Source organism: Homo sapiens, chromosome 13 (assembly GCF_000001405.40).
Source record: "Homo sapiens chromosome 13, GRCh38.p14 Primary Assembly".
NCBI lineage: Eukaryota > Metazoa > Chordata > Mammalia > Primates > Hominidae > Homo > Homo sapiens.
Window position 1 is genome coordinate 34,630,254 of NC_000013.11, and position 13,480 is coordinate 34,643,733.

General features: G+C 40.6%; 1 long non-coding RNA gene across 1 annotated transcript in view; it reads right to left on the minus strand.

Moving 5' to 3' along the window:
* The window catches only part of LINC00457 (long intergenic non-protein coding RNA 457), a 205,236-nt gene extending 194,804 nt beyond the window's left edge, over positions 1-10,432 (minus strand). The window contains exon 1 of the long non-coding RNA NR_047036.1: positions 10,352-10,432. This is a non-coding gene — a long non-coding RNA (long intergenic non-protein coding RNA 457). The remainder of the gene's footprint in view (positions 1-10,351) is intronic.
* Positions 10,433-13,480: the final 3,048 nt, after the last annotated feature.

Sequence of the window (13,480 nt, forward strand, 5' to 3'; positions counted from 1 at the left end):
TGGCTCTGGTGGGAGTGTAGCAGTGAAGATTACCAGAGGTCACTCTTGTCACCATTTTGATTTTGTTAGGTTTTGGCCAGCTCCTTTACTGCACCCTGTTTTATCAGCAAGGTCTTTATGACATGTATTTTGTGATGACCTCCTATTTCATCCTGTGACTTAGAATGCCTTAACCATCTGGGAATGCAGCCCAGTAGGTTTCAGCCTCATTTTACCCAGCTTATCTTTAACATGGAGTTGCTCTGGTTCACACACCTCTGACAAAGTGTCCTTTGCTTCTGAAATTATCATCTTACTGATGTAATGGCCCTGTTTATGATAGAATGATTTTAAAACCTTATTTTTAACTATGAGGACCAACAAGCTAAATAAAAGCTCACTTACATCCAGACACAAGTACACACAAGCAGGTACCCATAAACTTTGGTAAAACTGGCTAAGCGCTGGAACTACAGAATGAATTTGTAATCTGAGTAAACAAACTCCATAATGTTTAAATACTCTGAAAGCTGCCACCATGCAAATGATACCCAGGAGCTGTGTGCAAAGATTGCTCAAAGACACGGTGCTTGCCTCCTCCCTCCTGGAGCATATCCCAGACCTAACTGATGCTCTTATAATTGAGATCCCAGACCCCTCCCCACATGTTTCCCAACACAGTGATATCCCAGACCCACTCTGATCTCCAGAACAAGTCCCTGAGACTCTACGACATTATAAAGCTCTCCAGGTGGTTCTGATGACTGCCTTCAGGGGGGATTTCCCCCACCAAAAGAGAGCCACAAGGAAAAGGAAACCACCTGAATTAGTTCTTTTTCATGCTGCCATGAAGAAGTACCTAAGGCTGGGTAATTTATAAAGGAAAGAAGTTTAATTGACTCACAATTCCACATGGCTGGGGAGGCCTCAGGAAACTTAACAATCATGGTGGAAGCCAAAATAGAAGCAGGCACCTTCTCCACAGAGCAGCAGGATGGAGTGAGTGCAAGCAGGGGAGATGCCGGAAACTTATAAAACTGTCAGATCTCATGATAACTCACTCATTATCACGAGAATAGCATGGAGGAAACCACCCCCATGATTCAATTACCTCTACTTAGTCCCACCCTTGACATGTGGGGATTATAGGGATTACAATTCAAGGTGAGAGTTAGGTGGGGACACAAAGCCAAACCCTATCACCCCCCTACTACCTGCTCTGAATGCTCAGCAGCCCCCAACACCTTCCTCTAACCATGACATGAGATGCTAAAGGGACCAACGACCAGAATGGCGTAAAGATTACTTTAAACTAAAAACATCTAAACACACAGCAGCTGAGGGAGAAAAGGGCCTCTCTAAACTTCCCTTGTTTTAGCAGAGCTTTCTGAGAATTCAGCCACCAATTAGAAGAAAGAAGGCTAACCCTCAGCACCTAGATGTGAGCATTGAGCCACAATAATTCGCCTTCCAGGGAGCTTCCAAAGAGAAAGGAGAATGACTGTTAGTACCAGGGTGAGAAATCATGTAAAGCCTTATCAGAGCCTCCCATACATCCCCACTAAAGCCCTAACAACTCCTTATTATGCTGATCTATAAATATAAACCCTTCCTGGCTGTTTGGAGAGGACTCAGGGAGAGCTTCTGCTTGCTTGTCTGAGGGAGGGAAATATGTCTTCCCTCACTCGCCTTAGGTTCTCCACCTGGGGCCCTGTAAATTAGACTGCCCAAAGACAGATTAACAGGAGAAAAGCAAACAGAAGTTTATTAATGTGTGCATGGTGCATGTAACACATTGGAGTACTCAGGGATCAGTAACTCAAGGGGCATTCAGAACCTTGGCTTTCTTAACCCTCTTGCTAAAGGAAAAGGGGTTTGGGGCTTCTGTCTGCAGGGATCAATCAAATGAAGGGGTAAAAGTTTGTATTTTCCTTTCCAAACTTATAGTAACAGGAGAAAAACACATAAGAATTCCTTCTTTGGATTGTGACTGTCATGAATTTGGTTCTGAGTATTCATTGGTTATTGATCCTTTCCCTCCAAATGTAAACCAAAAATAAAATTCTAAGCCCCCCAGCCAACTGAATGGACTCCTTCTCTTGGCCAAGGGCATTCTAAAGTAAACCTGAAACACTAGCTGAGGCCGTGTTGGGAATGGGTGGTCAGACATGCCTCATTATACCCTCCCCCCTTTGGAATTCAGGCACAGCTGACCAGCATTAACATTAAAGCAGAGACATTAAGACTGACAGAACAGACTCTTTAATCTGATAAGAAAAATATTCACAATCTACTCTCTCTGAAGCCTACTACCTGGAAACTTAATCTACATAGTAAGAACTTTGGCCTTCACAATCCCTTTTCTTAACCTAGACACTCCCTCTATTGATTCCAGGTCTTTAAACTCTTTCAACCAATCGCCAATTAGAAAATCTTTGAATCCACCTATGACCTGGAAGTCCTCCCCTGCCCTTCCAGTAGGTCCACCTTCCCAGACCAAGCCAAGGAATATCTTACATGTATTGTTAATAGGATTGATGTCTTATGTCTCTCTAAAAGGTATAAAACCAAGCTGTAGCTTGACCACCTTGGGCACATGTTCTCAGGATCCCCTGGGGCTGTGCCACAGGCCATGGTCACTCAACATTAGCTCAAAATAAATATCTTCAATTATTTTATAGTGTTTGACTCTTTTGGTTGACACCAGGTAGAGTATTGCTTTCCTGTTTTCCTCATTTTGTGTCCTGAAAGTTTGGCTTGGCTTTCTGCCTAGTAGGATACAGATGCCATGGAGTCTATGTCTGCTGGTTCTCAGTGGCCTTTAGCTCAAAATAATTCATGTGCCAAAGAGGTATATTTTGGGGTGGTGTATTTTAGTACTCCTCAATGTGTGATCAACTTTTCTTCTGTTAATCTACTTATTAATTCTCAGGGCCTGACTGCTCAGAACTAAGTTAGTAAAGGAAAAGTTTTCTTCCAATATCACCAAGCCATTGAATGAACCCTGCTACCACTCACTTCCAGGATTCTTGTTATAAGGAAAAAAAAAAAACCCTAATTTGTTAAACACATTATTAGTTGGCTCTGAAACCACCATTGCAAAAATTATAACAGTGAGAAAATTATGACAGTGAAAGAAATCTGATCTAACCAACCTGCATGTTGACTTTAACCTCCAAACTGCCCTTGGTCATTCCTCGGCTTGGGCCACATTAACTTTAGGAGAAAATAAGTTTATTGTTTAAACAAGAATGGGCCTTCCACGAAGCAAACTGCCTTTGTAAAATGAATAAAAGACCACTAGGATACAAGGATGAAAGGAGCCTGGATTCTGCTAAAATGTAGGTGTAAATGATTACCAGCCGTTATTCCGAAGGACACAAGATTTGCAACTTCTCCAATTACTCCTGCAGATAATATCACTATTGTAGAACCCAAGATTAACCTTTTGAGATGTCTTTTCAGGTTTTTGCATTTCTGCCAAACAGATGGCCCCACGTAAACCCATGACTCTTGACTCAACTGGTCCTGTGGCCCCCACCCAGAAGTGGACTCAGCGCATGAGGAGCATATTCCACCTCCCTATAATGGCATCCCCAACAAATCAGCAGCACCCATTCCCCTGCCTATGAAACTATCCTGGAAAAACCCTAGCTCTCCAAATTTTTGGAGAGACTAATTTAAGTAATAAAACTAATCTTCCATTTGCTGGTTCTGCATGAATTAAACTCTTTCTCCTATCTTGATAAGTTGGCACTATCTGGGAAGAGGGCAAGGAGAACCTTGGCAGTTACAGGTCTTCCACAGCTTAAACAAGAAATTAGAACTCAGTCTTTTGAGCCAGGACACAAGATAACTGGGGGCCAGGATCTAGGGTCTGTCTTTTCCCCTGGAGCTCTGGCTGGGATGGCTTCCTGAGAAGGAATGCCAAGCATGACCTGGCTGGTCAGAGCAACCACAAGACCCCAAATGTAACAGGAAGAGTCATAGTGCTGACACTTAGACCCCAGAAGAACCACAGGAGAAACTGTAGCAACATCTGAGCACCTCAAGGTGTGATCAACTCCTACATATCCTACTCCAAAAACTAATACAAATCAGCTTCTCATACTTGTTCCTTGAATAACCCATGGCAATTCTAGATTAGTCTGGTAAAATGCAAAAGAAATTTTTTTTAAATGCAGTTATGGTTTTCAAAAACTTGTCTAATTAATCCTATTATTATAAAATGTTCAGATATGCAAAAAGAAAAGCCTACATGTTTTCATAATTAAATGACAGTCTCTTCTTCAAAGTCCTCTATATGTCAGGGGAAGCTTGGAGCCAGGTGCCGGGATGATGGTAAAGGTGAATGGAGAAATTAGAGGGAGTGCTCGAGCTGAATGTATGTTTCTTTCAGTGTCAGCAGAAGAGGAGGAGGCAGAGGGTGGGAGTGAGCTGAGTTCCTGGTAAGTAGGCTGAAAGAGCAGGATAAAAGGAGGGAAAACAATGAGCACCACACCCAGACCTATATCTGAGTGGAAAGGGTTCATGAACTCTAAGATGAAATGGGAACATGAACTAGGAAGCCTAAACCTTTAAATTAACCTAGCAGTTGGCAAGACTCTAAAAGAATATTTTCGCGTTTTAAAAGCCATGTGGAAACTATTTGAATCTTGATATCTTCATCCACAAAATAAAAGAAAGGGAATAAGTGGGCTCTGAGGTTCTCTCAGCACTGAGATGCTATAATTCTATCATTTGTCTTCTCAAGAGGATTCTGGCCATAGCTTTTCAAGTTACATCTGTATCTCTTCCTCCAGCCTTCCTCTAATCTGAAAAAGAAGGCATATGAGTTGGAAAATAAATTCTCATATTATCTTTCAACAGAATGGCTAGTGCATTTACTTCTAGCCCAACTATTGAGCCTCAGAAATCAACAAGCCGAATAATTCATTCTGTAATTTTTTTAAAAACACCCATCATGAATCAGGCACTGTGGTTGCTTTCGGGATACAGAGAAAGAGACAGGATGCAGTGTCAGCCTTCAAGTCACGCACCACTTAGGCCAAGCCAACCATTTTTCCAAAGTCTATTCTAAGTGTTGTTGAATAAATGAATGAATTATTATTGTAACTCTATGATAATTTGTGTAAAGGGCAGCTCTTCCCGTCTTGCCCACATTCTCTGAGGAAACAACATAAAAGAGCATATTCGTACTATTTCTCCAGCTGGGTGTCTCTATCCTGGCCCAAGGTGAGAATGTAGGCCAACGTTTTATGAGTATCCAAGCAGGGCACACCTACCCCACTGCAAATGCTTTCTTGCTTAAATATCGCTGAACAATAATAAAGATTTAGGTAGTTCTTTGTTGAAGGGTTCAAGAAATTTCTCCAAAACCTGGCAGAATATGAAGCTGACAGTGATAGATGGAATAAATTACTGTTCCACAAGGCATCTCACTCTCTTGAATTCTCAAAAGAAGGAAGCCCTCTGTCTAGTCCTTCCGTAAGTGTCCCATATGGATGGTTTATTTTCTTCTCTGGCTCCATTTCTTCCTACTTTTCCCTTCCTCTATGCCTCATCCCAACTAGTGACCTAGATCACAGTCTTACCCCCATTCCAGGATACCCCATGCCCTCTGCCAAATAATTAAGTTCCAATACTCAGGTCAATTTCTGTTCTTGCAAATATCCCAATCTCAGGAACTCACTGAATAGCAATTCCTTTCCCTCAGACAAATATCTGCTGGTGTGCAGTGAGGAAAGGGTTTGCTACCTCCACTTGAGGGAACTCAGAGTTCACTCTCTGAGCTTTAGTGCCTTTTATTCTAAAGTATCTAAAAATAATAGCAGCAACAACCATTGAAAAGGAAGTATAAGCAGGCAAATTTCCTTCTGCTGGCAGCATGTATTCTTCCAAGTAGCATTACTTTGAAAACTAGTGTTTAAGTTTACCCACCATAATGTGAGAATAAAGAGATGTGCAAGCAGATATTGATAAACAGCCAAATGGAGTGACTCCACTTGGTGAGACAGGGGAAGGCTTCACAGACAATGTGATATTTGACCTGATTTTTGCAGAAAGTTTACCAGGCACAGAGGTGATGTAAGGGTGGAGAAGCTCTAGGTCATATTCTAGGCAAGGGGACAACATGAAGAAGTCACCGAGTTCCGGCTCTGTCTGGTATTTGCAGACATTTTAAAAATCCATCCACCTCCAAAGTATCTTGAGAATCCTAGACCTGTAGCCTCCTTCCCAGCGGCCACCCTATGGAAAGGCTTCAAAGGCATACACAACTTTTAAGAAACGGCAAAGGAGACTCCAGACTACTCCTCAGCTAACTTTATAAACATACTCCTAGTGGCAAACGAGGTGGTCTAGAGGATAACAGATGCAGAAACAGGGAGAAAAGAACAAAGCCATGTGCAACGCTATTTGTATATTCTATGTCCCAAATGGAAAGCATAAGATGCAATTCCTTCTGTTATTCCATGACAACTTAAAGTAAGTCAATATGACCCTTATTTTCCCACAAACCACATGTAAATTAAAAAAAAAAAAGCTATTAAGGGCCCACTGTATACTAAGCACAAGATTCTGTGGGGCAAAATGTAACTAAGTCCTGTTGTGGAGACAGGAGTCTACAATACAGCAAGATGGAAGAGATCATGGAACTAGAAGAAAAGAGTAATGTTAGTAATTAGAAATGGCATCTAAATAGAGGAGTCAGTGAAGGCTTCTTGAAGGACATGTTAATCTAGGCCATGAAGGCTGAGTAAAAATTTGACAGGTGAAAATGTGAGAGGAAGGCAATTTAAGTAGGAGAAGTAACATACAGTGGGGAAACCCTAGACATGTGTGGAGTTGCCCAGTGAAATGTTCTGGGATAATAGAAATGTTTCACATCTATGCTGTCTGATATGATGGTAGCCACTAGCTACCTGAGGCTATTGAGCTCTTGAAATTTGCTGGTGTAACTAAAGACCTTAACTTTCAGTTTTATGTAATTTTAATAAAATATGGAAATAGTTGAAGACCAGCTGAATGAAAACAGACAACAGGCTAAGCCTATTTACTTAGAGCTTGCTGCAGCAGGGAGTCAGGCAGAATCATCTGTGTTTTGGCAGAGACTCAAATGCAGGCAGAGGAGTGGGAGAGCTTTAGAGTAGAAAAAAGGGAAGGCTTTAGGTGTGCCCTATGCAGAGGCTGTTGGCGTGTGGAAGCTGTAGGCAGGCTAACTAGAACACAGCATCCTATGTTATTGGTTAGGGGTACATTTTTGGCTTTTTCTGGTTGGTCTTAAGTTGGAACTGGAAACAAAAGTTACAGAAGCTATCAGTTATGAATCAAGTCCTGGCTGTTTGGGGCTGATTGTTACAGAGGTTATTGTTTGGCTTTCTGGATTGTTGCTAGAGATATCAGTCTGACTTCCTACAAATCTGACTTATAGGCAGTAGGCTGGCCTCCTGGGCTGGTTACTATAGATGATTAGTTGGTTTCCTGGGCTAGTTGCTGCATATTATGGGGCAAAACTCTATTTTTATTTTAGTCTAGCCGTTGCACATTTATATATTCCCTCTTACATTACAGCTGGCTAGTGGCCACAGCAATGGACTGTGCAGTTCTACAGTAGCATGAAACCCAGCTGGTGGAGCATAGGGTATGTTTCAGGAAACTAGAAAAAAAAAAAAAAAGAAGCCAAGAATAGAGATAAGACCAGAGTGTGGAAATCTGGGTGCCAATCTATGGAATTTGTATTCGTATTGATATAAATTAAATATCATGGAAAATTTAAGGACAGGAAGCTACATGATCACATTTTTGTTTTCTAATGATTAATTTGGTTTTAATCTGCAAAATGGACCTAAGAAAGAAACTACTGGTTAGCATATTGTAATAGATCAGCTTAGCATAGTGGAATAGCACAGGCAAGAGGAAATGAATGCTGTAGGATAACGGGAATGTAGATGCAAATAAGTGAGCAAGAGCAAAAATAATTTGGATGTACAATATGGAGCTCTTTAAATCTGATTGGATTTAATGAATTTACCATAAGAAAAAGAAAAAACAAAGGCCACCAAATCATTGTTAAGCCCAGACAAGATGGAAGGTTATAGATATTTTAAGAACTAGAGAAGTAAGAAAATAGCGTGGTTGGAGGATAGGGCAAAGGGTTTGGAGAGTGGGGGCGATGATCAGTTTGAGATTCAAACTAGTAAACCTCAACAGATTGAAGACAGATCGAAAATGAGAAAACAAATCAGAAAAAAAAACAAAAGAAAATATACTTTCAATGAGAGAAAGACCTCAAAAAAATTAATAAAAGGGTATGCCAATAATAATTACATAATTTTATTTGGTAAACAGTTATGTATTCTGCTTTAAATCAACAGGTTATGCGTGATAGACAGTATTCAGAGAGTCACAGTTAAAGTAGAACAGTTCTGTTTAACATTAGCAGTAATGCCAGCTGTCTGGTTGCTTTTGTTGTTGGATAAGACCTGATTTTGCTCTCTGTTCTGCTTGGGTTGTATTAGTGTATTAAAATAAATAAATCTAAACAAGGATTCTTAGTAATATGCCTCATGATTAATTAGAAAAATCCTCATGAGGAGAGGTTGCCCATTCTATTCAAGAGGTTGTAATCTCCTCCGGCTTCACGGGGCAGACACTGAGTGCGCATCTAGGATTTAGGGTTAACCAGCATCTCATCTTTCTGGTTAGTCTAATTTGGTTCACTGCAACTTTCTTCTTTTCTCAGTTAATTGTATTCCTTTTTTCTTAGTACCTTTGTTTCAAAAGGTATTCAAATTCAAAGGCCTCCCTGATGAGCTGGTATCCATGCAACTAGGGCCCAGTCCCCCAAAGACAGTACCATCGTTCCAACATGTCAGGTGGAAACTGATCAGTGGGGCACCAGATTACTAGAAAACAGAAAAGTTCTCAGTCTCCACTGTCTTGTGAGGCCCCAGAAGGCAGGAACTCTTGTTTGATTCAATGCCACCTCTGAGGTCCCTGAAACAGAGTAGTTCCTCAAATCACTTTTGCGGAATTAATCACTTTATTTAAAAAAAAAAAAAAAAGGCTTCAAAACCAGGTGAAAAGCTGACCTATGTCACAAATCCTCCAAGATCATTATATCATTTATTTATTTACTAAAATATTTGCCGAGTGCCAACTACAAGTCAGATAGTATGCTAGCGGAATGTCTGAAATAAAGAGATTAATGCAACTATTTAGTCTTTGTCCTCCAAATTACTTTAAGATCTTTGCTATTTATGGTTTCGTGTGACATCAACAACAAATCATGCTTAATTCTCCATGCTGCTCAATCATAATGTTGCACTTATAAAGCAACTAAAAAATCTTTATGGGAATAAACCAGTGATGAAGAATATTACTATCTTAGCCAGGCTTGGTGGCAGGCTCCTGTAATCCCAGCTACTTGGGAAGCTGAGGCCACAGAATTGCTTGAACTGGGGAGGTAGAGGCTGCAGTGACACAGGACCATGCCACTGTACTCTAGCTTGGGCAACAGAGCGAGACTCCGTCTCAAAAAAAAAAAAAAAAAAAAGAGTGTCACTGTCATTTTCCCAAGAATGCCCGGCTTTTCCCGTTTTCCCCCTCTCTCCCTTCAGTGTTTTTAACCTTAAGGTTTCATTGAAAAAATAACAACACAATTCAGCTATTTTATATCCAGAAATTAAAGGCACTCGTTTAGAGAATATACATACATATATGCATGAGACAACGTAATTTCACTGACACTAAACTTTCTAGCATGATTTCCTTCAGCTTCATCTTACCTAAAATCAAGATTCTCTCTAAAAGCAAGCCCCAAAAAAGTATACTTCACAGATTGATATCAAAAACACATACTTTAAGAAAAGTAATTAAGATATACTGATAACAAATGCAGAATAATAAAATAGGGTCATTTATCTTTGGCCGCCTTTTCCTTCTGCTTTTGGAATGTATTTCACAGAAAACAAAGAAGTCGTAAACTGGATTTGGTTTGAAATTGTCCCTGCACATCTTTAGAGCATGTTCAGTGATCACTGGGTGTAATATATGCTAATCTGAAGTTGAATGCAGCCTCAGGTGTTGTAACATTCTTGCTCTCAGCCTGAAGGAAAGGCATTAATTAACTGCAGTTCTGACTCGCAAAGCCAAAGTAGAATATCTCACTGCTGTAGTGATCCAGAAACCACTCATTCTATGTAAGCATTTTCAAAACTCCAAAGGATCCTCTAAAAGTGGATATCATTATGAAGGCTTTGACCCAGAGCCATCCTCAGTGGTAAATCCTCTCCCTGGGATTTTTGCCAGCCTGGCAAGGAGATCAATACAACATTCAGATAGATTTATTTCCAATAGACAAATAACTCACGTATGGGAAAGTCGCTTAATGCAATCCTGAGCTTCCAGACTCCTCTGCGTCATTCTGCTCCCCCTGATTGCATTTCTTGTAAGCAGGACAGGCCTTAAGGGAAGTCTTTGAAGCCCTTGGACACCTCTTCTGCGCCCTGCAATCACCTTCGAGGGCTCTGCTCTCACCCTCTTGAAATCCCATCATATGAATAAATGCTTATCTATCCCCTTAAGAAATGAGGTCAGCACTTTCAGGAAGCAGCTTGCCCAGTGAGGCCAAGAGAACCAGACATTGAGCTCCTTTTCCTTTCAAAGAGACTGTCTCTATCAGGAGATTTTTGGCAAGTGAAACAACCCCACTCAAACTAATGTAGGCAGAAAAGATTTAATCAAACCCGCCGCATAACCCACAGGATCAGGAAGATCAGAAAACCAGGCCTGGAGGATACACAGTTGGAAAAGATGCCCCTTTCTTGCACAGGACAGAACAGTCACGAAAACAGCAACAAAGGACCTGGTGAAACTGACCACTGCACCATCCCCCTTAGACTGAGTCTGGCCCTGACTCATGGTGGCTGCATTCACTGTTGTGTCCCAAGCCTGATATCCAAAAGCCAGTCCCTAAAAGAGAGTATGGCAACAGAACGTATGCCTGGGGTCAGGCACAGGAGGGCCGTTCCATGGGGGAGTCTGTAGACAAAGCTAAAGTGAAAACAGACGTTAATGACAGGAGCAGCATCAAAGTTGTCAAAGGCAAAACAAGTCCAAGCCAACAGGAACACAGACTGCTTATTTACAGACCTGCAACAAGGAAACCCATCTGCCTTGTCATCGTTTCAGCAGGGGTTCAAGGGTGTTAGAAAGGAAAGGAAGCTTTATCAAGTAAAAGAGAGCTTCCTGTGAGGCCATGTCTGATTGGCAAGCATGCTATTAAGGTGAAATTTTTGGAAGTGGGCAGACTTTCTAATTGGTTTTCAGATACATATGATAGCCCATGGTTGGCTGCAAGCAGGGTAAGTGAGCCATTTGGGGATGTTTCCAAGGAGAATGGATTTGTTCATTTCTATGCTGATCATTTTGTGGAGCAAGAGGGGGTCCCGCAGGTGTATTACAGCGATGCAATGGTTCTCAGGACAAGTTGACTGCCAGGGCTTTAGACTGTCCTTGAGAACAAAGTCTAAGGGAGAAACTGGGTCAGGAACCAAGGGAGTCCGCCTGTGGCACAGATACACAAAGAGAAAGCAGGCGCAGGGTGGCACTGACTGCCATCTCTGCTGGGTTTTCCTACTCCAGTCACAGATCCTCAGGGGAGCATCTGAATCCTTCATGTCTTGCCTGGCTTTTTGGTATGGAAATGCAATCTTCTCATTTGGCATGATGAATTGTTGGAACAGCCAATTGCCTTTACATTGTGGTTCTTCTCTACACAATCAAATGATACAACTTTTGGACATGAAAGTAAGGATGCTATACAAAATGTGTTTGGATGAATGCATCAGTGAGGCTGCCCTTATAAGGGTTAAAACATTGGGCAGCAACTGACAACTCATCCAATAATACAAAATTATATGATTGTTTTCCAAACTGGCCCAGGGACACTAAAAAAGACTTTCAGGTTAATAATAGCTTAGCCTCTGTCACCTCCTCCTATATTACTCTCTCTCTCTCTCTCTCTCTCTCTCTCTCTGTGTGTGTGTGTGTGTGTGTGTGTGTGTGTGTGTGTGTGTGTGTGTTTGTTGGAGCTGAGGATTGAGGTTGGATGGATAGAAAGAAAAGAATAACAAAATCTAAGAACTTTAGAAAATAGCTTGAAAAAAGGTATGTGTTTCTACACAGCCTGATGTAAACTTTACATAAGTATACAAGCTTAGCTCCTATTTAGCTTTGAGTAAAAATCAGATGATGACCATTACTTCTTAATATCCAGGTAGCTGTTTACCATATTCCTTCTGAAATTAACCCATGCAATATTTATCTTGAATGCTTAGTACCTATTCCTTTGATAAACTGCCTCTTACAAATAATAAAAAAAGAAATAAGAGTTGTTCAATCTATCCACTTGTTTTAATTAAAAGTAAAATTTCTGGAGGAAAGAAGTGTCTTAATAAAATGCTGATCACACAGACTTTTAAATAAATATTAAATAGTAATGTGTATGAAACACCCACATCTTTGAGAGAATGGACCAAAAAAATCCCATATGAATTCAGCAGGATCTAATACATAGTTTGAATAGCATGTTATATTTTCTCTGATATTTTTCCAAAAATGTAAAAGAGAATATTAATTTTCCAAAAACATTTTCTTTTGCTTACAAGTAAAAGTTAGTTTGAATAAAGCAGCTTTTCATATTCTTATTTATTAAATTCCCATCTCTACACAAATTGTCCTCCTTTAGAGTTTTGTTGTTCCAATTATTTTTGCTTTTTCTTTGTTGTTTTGCAATTCCATAATGTGATGGTTGCCTTGGCAATAGAAACGAGGGTTCAAACCTTTTAAAATGATAACCATCTCCATTCCACATTATTTATTGGATTTCATTCAGGTATATTCTCCTTTCTTTTTTTATCTTTATGAATTTAAAGTTACTTCTTCCTTTGTCGTCCTGATTTTCATTTTCTAAATACTTTTCAAACTGCCAGTATTTCTTACCTATTCTATTGAAATGGAAAATCAAGTCCATGATTTCATATGCAATTAAAAAACTGACATTTGCATTCGAAATTCCCAGTGTTGTGGACACTGAAATTTGAATATGACTGAGTGCCCTATTCCCCTGCACAGGAAACCATTCATAGTTACTGTGTCTGTCAGCACCACTGGTCTGGGGATGCCAGGAGAGGGGAAATTAGGAGCAGCAGAGTTGGAAAGCACATGATGAGGGGTTTCCATGCAGCCCCTATCCAGCTCCATTCCTTAGGTAGCAAAGAGTTCTTGGTAGCAGCTTACCTTGGCATTTAGCTGCTGTGTGACTGAAGTAATTTTACTGTGGTGGTTGGTCTAATCTCTTCCCTTTTCATGTGTGGCCATGGAGAGACGCTACACCTTAAGACCTTAAAGTATAGCGCTCATGTAGTGCAAAGGCATGCCCGCTGCTGATCTGCAGCCCAGGGTTGAGCAGTTAGAGTGAGAATTTGCCAGAATTCGC